Here is a 20,581-nt window from a genome sequence, read left to right on the forward strand (position 1 = left end):
TGAGTTAGGTTAAAGCTAGACTGCCTAATAAAGATGCCCAACCAGCATTGACACCTAATGTATTAGTCAGGGTTGTCTAGAGGGACACAACTATTTGGATAGATGTATATATAAAGGGGAGTTTATTAAGGAGTATTAATTCACATGATCACAAGGTCCCACAATAGGCCGTCTGCAATCTGAGGAGCAAGGAAGCCAGTCTGAGTCTCCAAACTGAAGAACTTAGAGTCTGATGTTTGAGGGTAGAAGCATCCAGCATTGAAGAAAGATGTAGGCTAGGAGCCTAGGCCAGTCTAATCTTTCCATGTTCTTCCGCCTGCCTTTATTCTGGTTGCCCGGGCAGCTGATTAGATTGCACCCACCCAGATTGAGGGTGGGTCTGCCTCCCTGAGAACACTGACTCAAATGTTAATCTCCTTTGGCAACACCCTCACAGACACACCCAACAACAATACTCTGCATCCTTCAATGCAATCAAGTTGACACTCAGTATTAACCATCACACCTAAGAACCCTGAAGTTTCCTTCTGCCTCATATAACAGTTCTGAAGTGTACTTTTCAGACGCATGAGTACCATGCCCCATATGGTAATTTAGAGATCCAATCTGGTGGTGGATCTGCTACCTTCAACAGAAGGCTTTCAAGACTGTTCTAGTCATTGCTGTTCCATCCACAGAAAAGTAAGCTTGGTAGAAATTGCACACTTAAATCTGCTCACATTTTATTTGTCAGAAATAGTCACATGGCCATAGTCAGCTGCAGATAAGCTGGAGATTACTGCTCTAAATTGGGGCTGTGGATGGGCCACTTCTCAAGTACAACTACTATTATTGAATAAAGAAAGAATGCACTTTTCTCGACAGCTAGCAATATCTATGTGCTCTATAAACCCACCTTAGTGTCCTACAATGACTTTATTATTATTATTATTATTTATTTATTTATTTATTTTTGAGACAGAGTTTCACTCTTATTGCCCAGGCTGGAGTGCAATGGCGCGATCTTGGCTCATTACAACCTCTGCCTCCTGGGTTCAAGCGATTCTCATGCCTCAGCTTCCCAAGTAGCTGGGATTACAGGCCTGTGCCACCATGCCCAGCTAATTTCTTTGTTTTGCATTTTCATTAGACAGGGTTTCACCATGTTGGCCAGGCTGGTCTTGGACTCCTGACCTCAGGTGATCTGCCTGCCTCGGCCTCCCAAAGTGCTGGGATTACAGGTGTGAGCCACCACACCTGCCCATACAATTCTTATCCTTTGCATTCTGTACCTTGATGACTTATTTCTGTAAAAATGTATGGGCAAGACCACCTTTTTAACTTTAAAAAATGTTTGGTATATGTTAATTTTACATGTTTATTGTTCCATGAATGCCTTTTTATGAAAAGTGCTAAAATACTGGCCGGGCATGGTGGCTCACACCTGTAATCCCAGCACTTTGGGAGGCCAAAGCGGACTGATCATGAGGTCAAGAGATCGAGACCATCCTGGCCAACATGGTGAAATCCCATCTCTACTAAAAATACCAAAATTAGCTGGGCATGGTGGCGAGCGCCTGTAGTCCTAGCTACTCGGGAGGCAGAGGCAGGAGAATCGCTTGAATCCAAGAGGTGGAGGTTGCAGTGAGCCGAGATGGTGCCACTGCACTCCAACCTGGCAACGGAGCAAGACTTTGTCTCAAAAATAATAATAATAAAAATAAAATATTGGTTGATGGACCAGTGGCCATTTAGTACAAAGAAAAGAGCTACATTTTTGTAAGCATATAATAAAAATATTTATTTGACAATTCCAAGCTAAAGTATGATTTAATAGAAAAAAATCTCTTGCTAGTAATTGTCTTTAAAAATCTGAATTTGAATTAAAATCTATGGTATTTTTATATAATAGGATCTGTATAGGACAGAGTACTTTCCTTGTCTGAACTCCAGCAGAAAAAAAAAAAGTACCCTGTCATTGTTAGAAAAATTAACAAGGAAGATTTGGAATAAAGCCAAAGTTGAATTATGTGTGCCTCTATGAATAAAACTAGATCCCTACCAAAAGTGTTAGTATTTTCATTAGTGTTAGTGTTAGTGTGTGTTTTACATTCACACTTCAGAAATATGTGTCTAGAGAGAATTTATTTTCTATCAAAGGGTGCCTTCTTTTCAAGAAGATGTTTCTGTTGCAAAGTAAATTAGTTATCTTGAAGGTTGCTGGTATATTGAGGTTGGGATGATTTATTCAGCCTTTTGCAATTCAAACTTGGAGTAGCATAAGTAAAATATACATCACTAATCTGTTTGTGCTCAGTACTGATGGTACAGAATTGCTTTGAATATTATTTCTGGTTTCTTGCCAGAGCCAGGTGTTGGTAGGCACAAAAATGGAGCATGAGATTAAAGAACATGCGGATGCAAATGAGTCTCAGGAACTTCAAAGTATATTTGGGTATTGGGTTCCTGATAGCAAGATACATCTGTAGTCCTCTAAAAATGTAGCTACTCACTATTTGGTCCAGGTCCCAGGAAATTTCTAAGATGCACATTTTGTAGAATTTATGGGCAGGCTCTACCTTTCATTTTAAATCTTACTGTCTCTGAGTGATTGATCTGATGCATCAAAAGAATAATTTGCATAAGTGAATTCATATGTGAATGTCTCTCATCCTTACCCATCTTATCCTGTAGCATGCTTCCATGTCCTCTGTCTTATCAGGGTTATCACATACTCTCTTGGTCAGAGGTCATGCTTGTCTGTCACTTTCTTGCATAATCCCTTCACCTGAGAGAAGAAGTGGGTGGGGACACCTGGTTTCTACTTATTGAAGGACATCCATCTTCCATAATAGTAGAAACAGGAGAAATAATGCCCTAATACTATGTGGGTTTTTAAATTATTGTAAAGCCTTTGAAAAAGTTCAGTAACTCCAGATGAATGGTAAATACATGTGTAAAGTTTGGTAGGTCAAATTCAAATTTTCACCACTTAAAATACTATCACAATTTGAAGGAAACTTGTATGCTAATGTTCAAATTGTGTGTGTATGTGCGTGTGTGTGTATGTGTGGTGTGTTGTTACTGACTCTGCTATTATATGACTTACAAAACTTAAGTTGAAAAAAATAAAAGTCCTTTTAAGACATCATTGGCTGGGCCAGTGGCTCACGCCTGTAATCCTAGCACTTTGGGAGGCCGAGGTGGGTGGATCACTTGAAGTCAGGAGTTTGAGACCAGCCTGGCCAACATGGCAAAACCCCATTGCTACTAAAAATACAAAAATTACCCGGGTGTGGTGGCACACACCTGTAATCCCAGCTACTCAGGAAGCTGAGGCACGAGAATCGCTTGAACCTGGGAGGTGAAGGTTGCAGTGAGCCAAGAGTGACACTGGCCTCCAGCCTCCAGGCTGGGTGACAGAGTAAGACACTGTCTCAAAAAAAAAAAAAAAAAAAAAAAAGATTTTGTGCATCACTGCATTTACCCAGGATTAGTGAACTATGCTTTCTTTAAAAAAAAAAAAAAAGGAAGAAGTAAAATTTCTTCCTGAGGTATTAATGAAATTAATTTCATTCATTGAGTAATTCTCAATTACTTATTAGGTGATAAGTACTCTTCCCGCACAGCACTAAAAATACAAAGTTGAACCAAACAGACGTGGTCCTTGGCTTTCTGGAGCTTCTATTCAAGTAGAAGGAGACAGACAGTCAAGATCATTTCAGTGTTAAATGCGATAAAGGAAAAAAGAAACGGTGTCTGGGGGAGAATTTTCTGGGGATTACTGGAGTTAAGGTGGTCTGAGAAGGACCTTGAAGAGCTAATTCCTAAAGAATGAGAAACATTCAGATAATAAAGAGCCAGGAGAGGGCTTTAGCAGAGGGAAGTGAAAATGCACAGGTCTTTAAAGGGGGTGGTATAATAGTTAAAGAACCAAAAGAGAGCATTGTGTGTAGTATTGAGCAAGGAGAGAATGAATGAGGTAAATTGGAAAGATATGCAGAGCTCAGATTATGTAGCTCCATATAGGCCATGGTCACAGTTCCAGGTTGAATTCTCAGGAAGCTGTTTCTCCGAGACAGAAATTAGCATGTGAGGCAAATTAGAGAGTGCTCTTGGATCTACTTTGGAAGGTGGTGATGACGCAGGGTGGGGCAAAAGGAGAGGAGGAGCTGCACTGTAGTCCAACCAAGTGTCAGCAACTCCTTGGGAGCACTGGATCTGGGATGGCTCTTTTGAGTTGTCCCAAGTCATATTGCAATGGTGCTCGGTTACTGGATATGGGCCGCTCCTGAGAGGAAGTGTGATTTTGGGGGAAGCAGTTTTCCTTAGCCAAGACAATCCATCAGGAAGGCTGATACCCGAGAGCTGACTTGGCAGCATTCCCAGCAGTGAGTGAAGTAAGTCCTTCATTCCTGAAGGGAGATGGGGGCATGTGGATATTATTTCAAGCACAATGGGGAGCCACTGCAGAGTTCTGGAAATGAAGCCTTGTAGTCTGATTTACATTTTCGTATGGTTAATTTTTTATGGCCTGTTTTTGAAGAATAAATGATATAGAATACAGAGTTAGAAGGGAAATGAAGTGTAATATTGGTGTAAAAGCAATAGATTCAGTCAAATTTGGCCCATGTTATTTTTCTGTTCTTGACCAAAAGTTGTAAAATTTGGAAAAATCAAAGGAAACAGTTTTTATTCAGACTTAGTGATATCAGGACTAATAAGAGGACTAATATAATTGAATGTTTCTTTGCTCATTCTTTCCTGAGAATTGTTGAAATGAGAAATTATCTATAACTGTGGTTTTAGTGAATGCATGAATGTGTGTGTGTGTGTTGTGTGTGTGTTCATAAGAGAAAGAGAGTTTTAATTCTTTTTCTCTTCTTTATAATGTTAACCTGAATTTTTGTATTTAAAGTTTTTTCCCTTCAAATGTCTGCATTTTGGCATCTAACTTCAGAGACCCAGGATGAGTTACATATGATAGATCCTTATAACGAACCATTAGTCTCACTTCTTGGAAAGAATATTGGAGTTTGTGCTAGGCTCACCATGAGAGGTAAATGCTTACCAGCTGATTAACCTATTGATAAAAGTGGTGGTAGATGTGGCTACATGGCTATTGCGCAGAAGCACAAGGGAAATCTTCATGGTAATGGGATAGATCTACATCTTGATTGTGATGCTGTCTGCACAAATCTATATGTGTGATAAATTAGTATAGAGCTATCCATATAAATTTTACATGTATCAATGGCCTGGTTTTGATATTGTACTATAGTTATGCAAATATAACCATTGGGAGAAACTTGGTGATGAGTACATAAGACCTTTGTAACTATCTTTCAAACTTTTTGAGAATCTATAATTATTTTAAAATAAAATGTTAAAAAACGTTCTTTTCTGCATGACAAATGTGCTAGTCATGCCACTGTACATTCTCCTTGGATCATTGTACCCACTCTGATGACTTAAACTACTGCAGGCATATTGAAGACCTAAGAATCTTTATTTTATTCAGATATCCCCCCTGAGTTCCAGACTACATAACTCTCAGGCTGTCCCCATGGGTACCTCAAATTCAAGATGTCCAATGTGCATCCCCCCAAACGACAAAATAAATTTCATCTTAAAAATAATATTGGTTATATATATCTTATTTTCTCAAAATACTTTTAAAAGTCTTATTTAATTCTCACAACATCCTTCCTAATTGGTTAACAGAAATACTATTATCCTAATCTAAGAGTTAAAGAAATCAAAGAGAGTTGTTAAATGACTTGTCTGAGGACTCTGGTTAATATAGTAGAAGAGTAAATATTAAACCCACATATCTTGATTTATATTCCAGTACTCTTTTCAAAATACTATTATTGCCATCTGAAGTCAAATGCTAGTGCATCTTTAATATATTATAACACATGCAAGTAACTTAAAAGTAGTGTGTTTATACTTTTTTTCTAAAGTACCTGATTAAATAGTTCTCTAGAGAAACCCACATGAAGTAGGTCTATATTTTTGGGCATTTTAAATAGGGCACTGAATGTAGTATTTCTCGTCAGCCATTCAGCATATATTACTCTCATTTTTAACTCTGTTTCTTTGTGTTTTAATTCTGGGTGATAGGGGCACTTAATATAACAGGACACAGCATGAAGCTTTTTGCTTTCTTAGGGCTTTAAGACCAATAGAAAAAATTAACATTCTTATAGAGGAAAAAATTCTGAAATACAAAGTCTCTGACATCTGTTTCCCTCATTTATTTGGATCTTTTAAGATTAGCTTATCTCTTCTGGGCTCTTGGAGTCTTAAATTGAAAACACTGCTTTGATATATGTGTGTCGCTATGATTTGCACACTGTTAAAATGAATATCAGATGGTTTTATATTTTTGCAAAGGCAATAGCTCAAGCAGGTAAACTTTATCTTATGATCTGAAAACCAAGATGTTGAGACATGGATATCAAAGAATATTGCTTAATTACTTTAAATATCTTAATATTTTAAAGACTTGACCTTAACAAAAATTAATTTAAATTATGTTGTACGTTATAAGATGTATATCCAGCACACACTTATTAAGTATCTGGACACAGACAGGAAAGTAAGAAAGGCCTTTCACCAAGGAAGTTAAACAAAGCTACAGATACGTTCCATTTTAAAGAGAAGCAGGAGGAGGAGCCAAGATGGCCGAATAGGAACAGCTCCGGTCTACAGCTCCCAGCGTGAGCGACGCAGAAGACAGGTGATTTCTGCATTTCCATCTGAGGTACCGGGTTCATCTCACTAGGGAGTGCCAGACAGTGGGCGCAGGCCAGTGTGTGTGCGCACCGTGCGCGAGCCGAAGCAGGGCGAGGCATTGCCTCACCTGGGAAGCGCAAGGGGTCAGGGAGTTCCCTTTCCGAGTCAAAGAAAGGGGTGACGGACGCACCTGGAAAATCGGGTCACTCCCACCCGAATATTGCGCTTTTCAGACCGGCTTAAGAAACGGCGCACCACGAGACTATATCCCACACCTGGCTCAGAGGGTCCTACGCCCACGGAATCTCACTGATTGCTAGCACAGCAGTCTGAGATCAAACTGCAAGGCGGCAACGAGGCTGGGGGAGGGGCGCCCGCCATTGCCCAGGCTTGCTTAGGTAAACAAAGCAGCCAGGAAGCTCGAACTGGGTGGAGCCCACCACAGCTCAAGGAGGCCTGCCTGCCTCTGTAGGCTCCACCTCTGGGGGCAGGGCACAGACAAACAAAAAGACAGCAGTAACCTCTGCAGACTTAAGTGTCCCTGTCTGACAGCTTTGAAGAGAGCAGTGGTTCTCCCAGCACGCAGCTGGAGATCTGAGAACGGGCAGACTGCCTCCTCAAGTGGGTCCCTGACCCCTGACCCCCGAGCAGCCTAACTGGGAGGCACCCCCCAGCAGGGGCACACTGACACCTCACACGGCAGGGTATTCCAACAGACCTGCAGCTGAGAGTCCTGTCTGTTAGAAGGAAAACTAACAACCAGAAAGGACATCTACACCGAAAACCCATCTGTACATCACCATCATCAAAGACCAAAAGTAGATAAAACCACAAAGATGGGGAAAAAACAGAACAGAAAAACTGGAAACTCTAAAACGCAGAGCGCCTCTCCTCCTCCAAAGGAACGCAGTTCCTCACCAGCAACAGAACAAAGCTGGATGGAGAATGATTTTGACGAGCTGAGAGAAGAAGGCTTCAGGCGATCAAATTACTCTGAGCTACGGGAGGACATTCAAACCAAAGGCAAAGAAGTTGAAAACTTTGAAAAAAATTTAGAAGAATGTATAACTAGAATAACCAATACAGAGAAGTGCTTAAAGGAGCTGATGGAGCTGAAAACCAAGGCTCGAGAACTACGTGAAGAATGCAGAAGCCTCAGGAGCCGATGCGATCAACTGGAAGAAAGGGTATCAGCAATGGAAGATGAAATGAATGAAATGAAGCGAGAAGGGAAGTTTAGAGAAAAAAGAATAAAAAGAAATGAGCAAAGCCTCCAAGAAATATGGGACTATGTGAAAAGACCAAATCTACATCTGATTGGTGTACCTGAAAGTGATGTGGAGAATGGAACCAAGTTGGAAAACACTCTGCAGGATATTATCCAGGAGAACTTCCCCAATCTAGCAAGGCAGGCCAACGTTCAGATTCAGGAAATACAGAGAATGCCACAAAGATACTCCTCGAGAAGAGCAACTCCAAGACACATAATTGTCAGATTCACCAAAGTTGAAATGAAGGAAAAAATGTTAAGGGCAGCCAGAGAGAAAGGTCGGGTTACCCTCAAAGGAAAGCCCATCAGACTAACAGTGGATCTCTCGGCAGAAACCCTACAAGCCAGAAGAGAGTGGGGGCCAATATTCAACATTCTTAAAGAAAAGAATTTTCAACCCAGAATTTCATATCCAGCCAAACTAAGCTTCATAAGTGAAGGAGAAATAAAATACTTTATAGACAAGCAAATGCTGAGAGATTTTGTCACCACCAGGCCTGCCCTAAAAGAGCTCCTGAAGGAAGCGCTAAACATGGAAAGGAACAACCGGTACCAGCCGCTGCAAAATCATGCCAAAATGTAAAGACCATCGAGACTAGGAAGAAACTGCATCAACTAATGAGCAAAATCACCAGCTAACATCATAATGACAGGATCAAATTCACACATAACAATATTAACTTTAAATATAAATGGACTAAATTCTGCAATTAAAAGACACAGACTGGCAAGTTGGATAAAGAGTCAAGACCCATCAGTGTGCTGTATTCAGGAAACCCATCTCACGTGCAGAGACACACATAGGCTCAAAATAAAAGGATGGAGGAAGATCTACCAAGCCAATGGAAAACAAAAAAAGGCAGGGGTTGCAATCCTAGTCTCTGATAAAACAGACTTTAAACCAACAAAGATCAAAAGAGACAAAGAAGGCCATTACATAATGGTAAAGGGATCAATTCAACAAGAGGAGCTAACTACCCTAAATATTTATGCACCCAATACAGGAGCACCCAGATTCATAAAGCAAGTCCTCAGTGACCTACAAAGAGACTTAGACTCCCACACATTAATAATGGGAGACTTTAACACCCCACTGTCAACATTAGACAGATCAACGAGACAGAAAGTCAACAAGGATACCCAGGAATTGAACTCAGCTCTGCACCAAGCAGACCTAATAGACATCTACAGAACTCTCCACCCCAAATCAACAGAATATACATTTTTTTCAGCACCACACCACACCTATTCCAAAATTGACCACATAGTTGGAAGTAAAGCTCTCCTCAGCAAATGTAAAAGAACAGAAATTATAACAAACTATCTCTCAGACCACAGTGCAATCAAACTAGAACTCAGGATTAAGAATCTCACTCAAAGCCGCTCAACTACATGGAAACTGAACAACCTGCTCCTGAATGACTACTGGGTACATAACGAAATGAAGGCAGAAATAAAGATGTTCTTTGAAACCAATGAGAACAAAGACACCACATACCAGAATCTCTGGGACGCATTCAAAGCAGTGTGTAGAGGGAAATTTATAGCACTAAATGCCTACAAGAGAAAGCAGGAAAGATCCAAAATTGACACCCTAACATCACAATTAACTAGAAAAGCAAGAGCAAACACATTCAAAAGCTAGCAGAAGGCAAGAAATAACTAAAATCAGACCAGAACTGAAGGAAATAGAGACACAAAAAACCCTTCAAAAAATCAATGAATCCAGGAGCTGGTTTTTTGAAAGGATCAACAAAATTGATAGACCGCTAGCAAGACTAATAAAGAAAAAAAGAGAGAAGAATCAAATAGACACAATAAAAAATGATAAAGGGGATATCACCACCGATCCCACAGAAATACAAACTACCATCAGAGAATACTACAAACACCTCTACGCAAATAAACTAGAAAATCTAGAAGAAATGGATACATTCCTCGACACATACACTCTCCCAAGACTAAACCAGGAAGAAGTTGAATCTCTGAATAGACCAATAACAGGCTCTGAAATTGTGGCAATAATCAATAGTTTACCAACCAAAAAGAGTCCAGGACCAGATGGATTCACAGCCGAATTCTACCAGAGGTACAAGGAGGAACTGGTACCATTCCTTCTGAAACTATTCCAATCAATAGAAAAAGAGGGAATCCTCCCTAACTCATTTTATGAGGCCAGCATCATTCTGATACCAAAGCCGGGCAGAGACACAACCAAAAAAGAGAATTTTAGACCAATATCCTTGATGAACATTGATGCAAAAATCCTCAATAAAATACTGGCAAACCGAATCCAGCAGCACATCAAAAAGCTTATCCACCATGATCAAGTGGGCTTCATCCCTGGGATGCAAGGCTGGTTCAATATACGCAAATCAATAAATGTAATCCAGCATATAAACAGAGCCAAAGACAAAAACCACATGATTATCTCAATAGATGCAGAAAAAGCCTTTGACAAAATTCAACAACCCTTCATGCTAAAAACTCTCAAGAAATTAGGTATTGATGGGACGTATTTCAAAATAATAAGAGCTATCTATGACAAACCCACAGCCAATATCATACTGAATGGGCAAAAACTGGAAGCATTCCCTTTGAAAACTGGCACAAGACAGGGATGCCCTCTCTCACCACTCCTATTCAACATAGTGTTGGAAGTTCTGGCCAGGGCAATCGGGCAATCAGGCAGGAGAAGGAAATAAAGGGTATTCAATTAGGAAAAGAGGAAGTCAAATTGTCCCTGTTTGCAGACGACATGATTGTTTATCTAGAAAACCCCATCATCTCAGCCCAAAATCTCCTTAAGCTGATAAGCAAATTCAGCAAAGTCTCAGGATACAAAATCAATGTACAAAAATCACAAGCATTCTTATACACCTACAACAGACAAACAGAGAGCCAAATCATGGGTGAACTCCCATTCACAATTGCTTCAAAGAGAATAAAATACCTAGGAATCCAACTTACAAGGGATGTGAAGGACCTCTTCAAGGAGAACTACAAACCACTGCTCAAGGAAATAAAAGAGGACACAAACAAATGGAAGAACATTCCATGCTCATGGGTAGGAAGAATCAATATCGTGAAAATGGCCATACTGCCCAAGGTAATTTACAGATTCAATGCCATCCCCATCAAGCTACCAATGACTTTCTTCACAGAATTGGAAAAAACTACTTTAAAGTTCATATGGAACCAAAAAAGAGCCCGCATTGCCAAGTCAATCCTAAGCCAAAAGAACAAAGCTGGAGGCATCACACTACCTGACTTCAAACTATACTACAAGGCTACAGTAACCAAAACAGCATGGTACTGGTACCAAAACAGAGATATAGATCAATGGAACAGAACAGAGCCCTCAGAAATAATGCTGCATATCTACAACTATCTGATCTTTGACAAACCTGAGAAAAACAAGCAATGGGGAAAGGATTCCCTATTTAATAAATGGTGCTGGGAAAACTGGCTAGCCATATGTAGAAAGCTGAAACTGGATCCCTTCCTTACACCTTATACAAAAATCAATTCAAGATGGATTAAAGATTTAAACGTTAAACCTAAAACCATAAAAACCCTAGAAGAAAACCTAGGCATTACCATTCAGGACATAGGCGTGGGCAAGGACTTCATGTCCAAAACACCAAAAGCAATGGCAACAAAAGACAAAATTGACAAATGGGATCTAATTAAACTAAAGAGCTTCTGCACAGCAAAAGAAACTACCATCAGAGTGAACAGGCAACCTACAACATGGGAGAAAATTTTCGCAACCTACTCATCTGACAAAGGGCTAATATCCAGAATCTACAATGAACTCAAACAAATTTACAAGAAAAAAACAAACAACCCCATCAAAAAGTGGGCGAAGGACATGAACAGACACTTCTCAAAAGAAGACATTTATGCAGCCAAAAAACACATGAAGAAATGCTCATCATCACTGGCCATCAGAGAAATGCAAATCAAAACCACTATGAGATATCATCTCACACCAGTTAGAATGGCAATCATTAAAAAGTCAGGAAACAACAGGTGCTGGAGAGGATGCGGAGAAATAGGAACACTTTTACACTGTTGGTGGGACTGTAAACTAGTTCAACCATTGTGGAAGTCAGTGTGGCGATTCCTCAGGGATCTAGAACTAGAAATACCATTTGACCCAGCCATCCCATTACTGGGTATATACCCAAATGAGTATAAATCTTGCTGCTATAAAGACACATGCACACGTATGTTTATTGCGGCACTATTCACAATAGCAAAGACTTGGAACCAACCCAAATGTCCAACAATGATAGACTGGATTAAGAAAATGTGGCACATATACACCATGGAATACTATGCAGCCATAAAAATGATGAGTTCATATCCTTTGTAGGGACATGGATGAAATTGGAAACCATCATTCTCAGTAAACTATCGCAAGAACAAAAAACCAAACACCACATATTCTCACTCATAGGTGGGAATTGAACAATGAGATCACATGGACACAGGAAGGGGAATATCACACTCTGGGGACTGTGGTTGGGTCGGGGGAGGGGGGAGGGATAGCATTGGGAGATATACCTAATGCTAGATGACACATTTGTGGGTGCAGCGCACCAGCATGGCACATGTATACATATGTAACTAACCTGCACAATGTGCACATGTACCCTAAAACTTAGAGTATAATAAAAAAAAAAAATAAATAAAGAGAAGCAGATGACTGGTGGAAAAGGCACCACCCAAGAGAAAGATATACTTGGATTGTATGAACTATGAAATGGGCTTTGAGACAGCAGGAACACCTCAAGAGAGAAACAATAATCCAGTAAATACTAAACATTAAGTGAAATGCCTAGAAAAACTCTTTTAAGATATTTTCACAGGAAATTCAAACATGATAAAGCATAAGGAAATCCACAGAGGTTGCTGATAAGTCTTGATTTGCAAACTTATTCATGTTTCTTTCAGATAAATGACATGATGACAGTCAGAAGACACAAGACACTAAATTGTCCCTCAATCCACTGTTCCAATAGCATGTGTGCTCCTGCCTCACTTGACTAGTGAATAGGAGATGAAATCAATTCAGCCAGTGATTACTTTTACTTAATGAATGTCACATCTGAGGTCAGGGTGTCATATGTGTGTGTGTATTGGAGGGGGTAGCTGTAAAATAACATTGATGTAAGTTTTGTTGTTGCCCCCCTAGGTGGTAAATACCCAAAGTATCATTGAATCCTAAGGTTTTATATTTGCTTGTTTTATGCTACATGTAAACCTAAATTAGTGAACATGAAACATTGCAGGAGGGTCCTTCTAAACAACATAGCGAAACTTGTGGCTCCACTAACTCTTCAACTCAACAATTTGCAGCTCTTTGAACCAAACCTTGTAGTTCATGTGTGTTACTGCTCACTAGAGATATGAGGCTTGCTAATGTGAAATACATACTTTCCACTCAGATTGTAAGGCCTTGAGACTGTGTCATGGCATAACTTGATTTAATCATTGAGAGGCCTTAATGACCACCCTTTCCCCTCCTTCAAAGCTAGTCCAATTGAATTTTTGTATAGTGGTGGTGGTGAGAGTAGAACAAAGCAAAATGGGAAAGGTATAGGAGGGAGGAAGAAGTAGCCACATTCTTAGCCTTACATTTTTACTCAAAAGTTTCTAGAAATGGAAGAAGGTTTGGGCATACTACTCTGTAAAGGGGATGTAATGAAAAGGAAGAGGCCACGTGGCTCTAATAAAGTCACCTGTTGGGATACCTGCTCCTCACACCTTTCTTCTGTTCCTGTGCCTACCACATACCTGTCTGTGTGTGACTGGGTGGTGACTCAGTTCTAAACAAGGCATGGAGCTAAGAGGAATCTAGGATATGAACATTTCTCACTTTCAAATAATTTTAGTCTTGAAAAACAGGCTACAAACTTGATTCTGGTGCTTTGAATTTTCTGATTTAAGGAAAACCTATTTTTTTCTTATGATACAGAAAATAAGAGAACAGAAAGATAAATCGAGGCCAAAAAAGCAAAACAAACAAAAACATCCCAAATCAGCAAAGCCACTAACATTTGTAAGTATCTTCATAATTATGTAGGGAAGCATCACTTGAAAATCTATATGAATTTTTCAATAAAAGCAAGAGCAGGCTGGGCACAGTGGCTCACGCCTGTAATCCCAGCACTTTGGGAGGCCGAGGCAGGTGGATCACCTGAGGTCAGGAGTTCGAGACCAGCCTGACCAACATGTAGAAACCCCATCTCCTTAGCCGGGCGTGGTGATGCATGCCTGTAATCCCAGCTACTCGGGAAGCTGAGGCAGGAGAATAGCTTGAACCTGGGAGGTGGAGGTTGCAGTGAGCAGAGATCGCGCCATTGCATTCCAGCTTGGGCAACAAGAGTGAAACTCCGTCTCAAAACGAAACAAAACGAGAGCAAAACAATTATGCGTATAGTTGAAACTGGTTAATATGCACATATGGGTTAGCCTAAAAAATTAATTTGAACATTACAGACTATAGGAAGATAAGTTTTTGTTACATCATCTGGATTTTATTTTTCAGGATGGGTGAATAATAATAAAATAATAACAAAGCTGCAACCTGAAAGCAAAATTCAGTAGTATTCCTTTTTTTCTGCTTCCAAAATGGACTATTATTTTGAGATCTATAGTTTCAAAATTAATTTGATTTTAAAATTGAGCTAGTATTTTGTCCTAAATGTTTTTAACATTGTGGCATCAACCACCTAAGAATAAGCTGCAAAATCTATTAATTTAACATGGTTAATCTAAATCACACCAAATATTGTTGTTAAAATGAAAAGACTACACTGTGGGCATTTTTGATACCCAAATCTTTGCTTTGTATGTTTGTTTTGTATGTTTTCAATTATCTCATGATTCACTTGCATGGTCTATACTTACTTGCATTTTATTTAGATCTCTTGGCACAATGTTCATTTTGCTTTTGTGAGTTTTTCTGGCATCATTATAATAAACTATTTTAAAATTAGATATTACAATAATTTATTTCATACTATCAGTGCCGTGTATTTTATTCTTCACCATCAATATCAGAAGTTACTAAGAGAGAGGGTTGAAAATGAGTTGTCTGAATATTATTGAAAGTTACCTGGAATATACCCTACTCTCATTTTTGACATATAATAGTACAACTAAAATGTTACAATGTTTGACTTTTTATACTGTTGCGGAAGACACTGAAATGCAGTAGGTAGTGGCACAATCTTCATTTTAAGGAAATAATAGACTACTTTCTGACAATCTATTTGGATTTAAGCAATGTAGAGTGAGAAGGCAATCAATCTTTGTTTATATTTAAAGTGTTGCAATGATTAAAAAAGTATGGGGAAGGGCATAGATTTGAAGCAAATACATTATCTGACGATATCTATTTTAATGTAACCTACTTTCCATGGTATTAGGAAAAGTATCATAAAAAGAAAGAGTGATTGAAAGGCCTCTGATCAAATCCTCTCTGAATTATTCCTTAAAACACTTGAAAAACACAATTATTGTTTAGATTTTAAGGCAGGCCTGAATTGAATTACTGCTTTAGTACTCAATCTCTTTGAATATCATTATTTTCCAAAATATGTGAAAGTAGGGATAGATGGAAATTAATTTACTTTGAACATTTAATCATCTACACTGCATGGAGACAGATAACGTTCTTGAGGTTTGGGAGAGTAAAGAAACTGTTGAACTTCCTTTTTCACCCGTGATGATTTAGAACAACTAATGGAAGAGATATTTTACATGAGAATTTCTGATTCTGGGAGGATTAGTTTCCAAGCTACAATTCAATAAATATTTCTGAGACAAATGTTAATCTTGAGTATTCAAACCAGCTCAAGAGAATTAATATCAATTCGGCCTCTGTTCATACCTTAAACTATGACCCAGATTGATGAATTTGAATCCCATTTCTCACAGAAAGGCCACCTTTTAAAAAATGTAATGCCCATAGAAGAAAATGGATTAAAAGAGACCCTATTGCTATTCCCATTCCTGCACCAGACTACGTCTTTTATTACAAATATCTCAGAAATAACATTGTGATAAAATTCACACGCACACACACACACACACACACACGTATGTGTGTGTATATATATATATATATATTTATGTCTACAGTCTGAAAATACTTTCATTTTTCTTTTTAAAAGGTAATAAAACCTAATTACATGAATATAACAAGATTAACAGCATTGGTACAATACAGTAGCTCCTCTTTTATGCTTGAGTTTGCTTTCTGCAGTTTCAGGTACCCATGGTCAACCAATGTCCAAAAATATATAATGAAAAATTCCAGAAATAAACAAGTCATATAAGATGTAAATTGAGTGCCATTCTGAGTAGTGTGATGAAATCTCAAACTGTCCTGCACCTTTCTGCCTGCAATTTGAATCATCCCTTTGTCCAGTGTACACACAATGTATTCACTTTCTGCTCATTGGTCATCAACACTGTCTGCTCCTGACATCCAATGACATCGTCATGGCTTAGTGAACCAGGATCACCTGAAGCAGACAATCCTTCTTCTGATACAGCATCAGAAGCTCAATAGTAGCCTAATGTTATGTCACAGTCCCTCTCTTTATCTCATCACATAGGCATTTTATTGTTTCACATCATCAAAAGAAGAAGTGAGTACTGTAAAATGAGATGTTTTGAGAGAGAAAGAGGTCACGTTCTCATAACTTTCAGTGTAGTATAATTATTCTTTTTTATTATTAGTTATTGTTAATCTCTTAATGTGCCTAACTTATAAATTAAACCTTATCACAGGTATATATGTATAAGGAAAACCATATTATGTGTAGGGTTTGGTACTATTCGTGGTTTCAGGATAGTAATTTTGTGTAGATGGAGGGGGTACACTGAGGGGAAATCTTAGAACATATCCCCCACAGATAAAGGGAAATGACTATTGACAGTAGTTTACTAATCATTACTGTTTATTTCCTTTTATTCTTACAATTGAATTTCATGCATACTTTATTTTCCATCACTAACATCAGGGGCTATTGATAAAATTAGTTCTCTTAATAGTAGCCATGAATGCTAAAATATAAAGTTAATGTGATACGTGATTATTTCAATTCATAGGTTTGGAAACTGGGACTATGAAATATGAGGCAACTTTCCAAGGCCATTTTTGCATCAAGTGCTATTGTGACATTAGGCTGGGTCTTCTTAAGTCACAGTTGTTTTCTTGCCTCCTGTCATATAGTGTGGAGTTCTCCATAGTATAGCATGACAGGAAGCAAGAGATCTATATTTATGGAGATCTCCAAATGTCAGTAGATAACACATGTTTTGCTTATACTGACATCAAAAACCCTGTCTCCAAAACAATCTCAGATGAGATTCTCATGAGAACACAATTTGTTTGGAGAAATTAGCATGGGAATATAAGTTAAAATAAACATTTAAAAACTGTACGTTTATTTTATTTTTAAATAAAAAACATTTCACTGTTAGATCTATTTTCAACAGTAGAAGTATGCACAAGTTTATAGAAGAATTCTAGTAACATAAATTTTGTTTACCAATAATGAAGACCTTTGTCTTTATGAAGATTACAAGTATCCTGTGATTTATTTAACCAGTAACTCTGTATTTAAGTAAAAACTTGTTTATTTTCAATTAAAGAGGTTAATATCACCTTTATTTTTTAGTCGCATTTTTATGTATATTGCCCTGAGGTAAAATTACATCTACACAGAAAGTAAGATTTAATGACTAATCCATATAAACAATTAAATACTTTTGCATCAGGAGCTAAATCATTAGTTTTAAACAACTGTTCAAGAATCATAAAGCCATTGAGATCAAAGCCAGAATGGTTTGTGTGATCATTCCTGTTTTTGTCATGTTACTCAATAGTAAATGCCAAGAGTTCCTGGAATGTTTATTAGCCAAATAACTAGTGAAATAATATAATCATTTTAAAATCTGATGTCAATTATTATTTTAAAAAGTTTTATCCAGTACCCAATTATATTCTGATTCACTTTGCCAAAATCCTTAAGAGTCAAATAGTCATTCTAGAAAGATGACTGAAATCATAGAGCATTTAGCAAGGCTTTGTTGATACATGAATGGATGAATGAAATGAAAGAATGAATGAATGAAAGGACCCCTGGTAAGTTTCATAACACTTTTTAGTTCCATCCTACATAAAGAGACAGAGATAAACATATATTGAATGAAGCATCTAGTATGAAATCAACACAACTTTCCTTTCACCAGAAAGAGTAGGGCAGACTGGAAAATAGCATAATTTTTGAAAAATGGATAACTGTAATTAAAACTCATTTGCATTTTACTTCTTCCAAGTGTTCCTGGGAATCTATATAATGAGCATACCTTGGTCTCTTGTGGGATTCTGTCAATAGTTTAACCTCTCCTACCCCTCATAAGACAACACCTGCATGCTGCCCAGTTACAGAGTCAATTAATCAGAGCATTTCACATTGTGATGCAGGGAAATATGGCAGGTCCTATATGGAAAGTATCAGTGTGTATATATCATTTTAAAGCTATATGTTTTGCTTCACTCTAAATTCCTTCCTGGTAACTTCAGTTAGGCTCTTTTTTGAGCTTGTCCCTTCCATTATACAACTATATAAGTTCTTGCAGCAGCCAGTGCCCCATAACTTGGAGTCATAGTCATTCACAACAGTTCAGGACTAGCTATATAATTTGTCGGCCCAAGATTGCATGCCACCTGGAGAGAGGAAACGGAAGTGTTTATAGAGAAACTCCAGTCCGTGACAGAATGAGGGCTTCTCCCAGAATGAGGGCTGCTCCCAGGAACGTTAATTTCTTGACTTCTGATCTGCCACATTTCTGGAGGCAAGAGAACATCCTGAGGCTGAGAAGTGCAGTATCTGGCAGTTAAAGGTTGGTCTGTGTGCACTCCCGTGTTAAGGGTGGGGGACCATAGGTGGGGCACGGATATGTCGCCCACTGGGCCCAGAGTCAGGCCTCCTACCTGGAAAATGTTGAGCTGGTGATCACACAGATCTTACTCTGTTCCCCTAACTTTCTCCCTACCAGAATTCACAGAGGGACACACTGGAGTCAGACTAGAGCTATGGGGGATTGTTTGGTATATACACAGCTCCTCCCAGTTCTTCAAATCAATCACGCTCAGTTACCTTTGTCCAGTTTGGTCAGCTTTCCTAGACTCCTTTCCTTTGGTACCCAGGAAAATATTTATAGGTATCTGAACACAAATAATGAGCTGGGTTCAAGTTCTCTCTTCCAGGATACCTCAAGGGATGTGACTGGAAACTGTGTATTACTTTCCCTAAGCCTTTCATGACTATTGAGCTTCTGGAACTTTAGGTAGGGGTGTGATTTATGCAAAATACCTAAAATGCTTTTGATAAGACAATGTGATAAATCTGTGTATTCCAAGTACCATTTACTTTCTCTTCCTAATAGAAGAGTAACGGAATTTTGAGTTGACTTGGTGTAGCCATGTGCCCAGCTGAAAGACTGTATTTCCTGGCCTCACTTGCAGCTAGGTGTGATCATGTAACTAAATTATGATTAATGAAATATAAGTGGAAGTACTTCTTGGGACTTCTCAGATGACATTTTAAAAGAAATAGTGTGTTATCCTCTCCCTCCCTTTCTCTTTTTTCCCTTGCTGTAACATAGAATAATTGGAACACTAAATGTAATCTTGGGCCAGGAGTTGACCTTAAGAATGCAAGGCGTATTCTGGGGCTGAAAAACAGACAGAGAGGAAACTAAGATGTAAATTATACTATAAAGTCAGTTTACCAGTCCTAGACCATCTTTTTTAGGAATTATTTTATATAAGAAAGAATTAATGTTTGACTTGATTATGCCACTATTATGTTTCCTGCTATATGTAGTTGAGCACATTTTTAACTATTATGGAAGATGTTATCTATACTCCCACACCAACCTACCCAGGTCTAATTGCTACCTAGTTACCGTGTTGTTATACAAAATTGCCATAATACTATTTTGTATTCTGATTTTTATTTTACGGTCCTGTTATCTCACAAATAGTTTTTTTTATTGTTATTTTTAGTGTTTTTCACAAGTTTTCTTGGTCATTTTTAATGTATACATATGAAGTCATCTGATAAATTAGTGACATTTTAATTTATTGAACTGTTGCCCTGATGTTGGACACAAGTTGTTTCCATTCTCTCATAGTTATAGATAATGCTGTTAATATCTATAACAATAAGTATATCTAGAAGAATAAATAAATTATTATGCACAGGTTTGTGCATATTTGGCTCAATTTTATTGTTGTTGATAACTTCTCTCTAATGAAAATGCCACGAATAGAAAATTTTGGAGGCTGCCCTTTATATTCTCATTTTAAGTTACACAATCTCTCTTGTCCTCTCCTTTCCATTTCAGGGTCACGTTTCTCTTTAGATTACACACAGTGTCTTGTGATACTGCCTCTGGTCAGCTGATTTCTCCTTGCCTCATTCCAACTTCTTTTGTCAGAAAATTCTTCAAGATTGCCACATTCTTTCACAATAATATGGTAAGGAAGATCAATTA

The 20,581-nt window shown here is 38.3% G+C and overlaps 1 long non-coding RNA gene across 1 annotated transcript in view; it reads left to right on the plus strand.

Moving 5' to 3' along the window:
* LOC105377949 (uncharacterized) overlaps window positions 1-20,581 on the plus strand; it is a 79,927-nt gene that overhangs the window by 7,196 nt on the left and 52,150 nt on the right. The window contains exon 2 of the long non-coding RNA XR_001744304.2: window positions 20,432-20,564. This is a non-coding gene — a long non-coding RNA (uncharacterized LOC105377949). The remainder of the gene's footprint in view (window positions 1-20,431; window positions 20,565-20,581) is intronic.

This window comes from Homo sapiens, chromosome 6, assembly GCF_000001405.40.
Source record: "Homo sapiens chromosome 6, GRCh38.p14 Primary Assembly".
Classification (NCBI taxonomy): domain Eukaryota; kingdom Metazoa; phylum Chordata; class Mammalia; order Primates; family Hominidae; genus Homo; species Homo sapiens.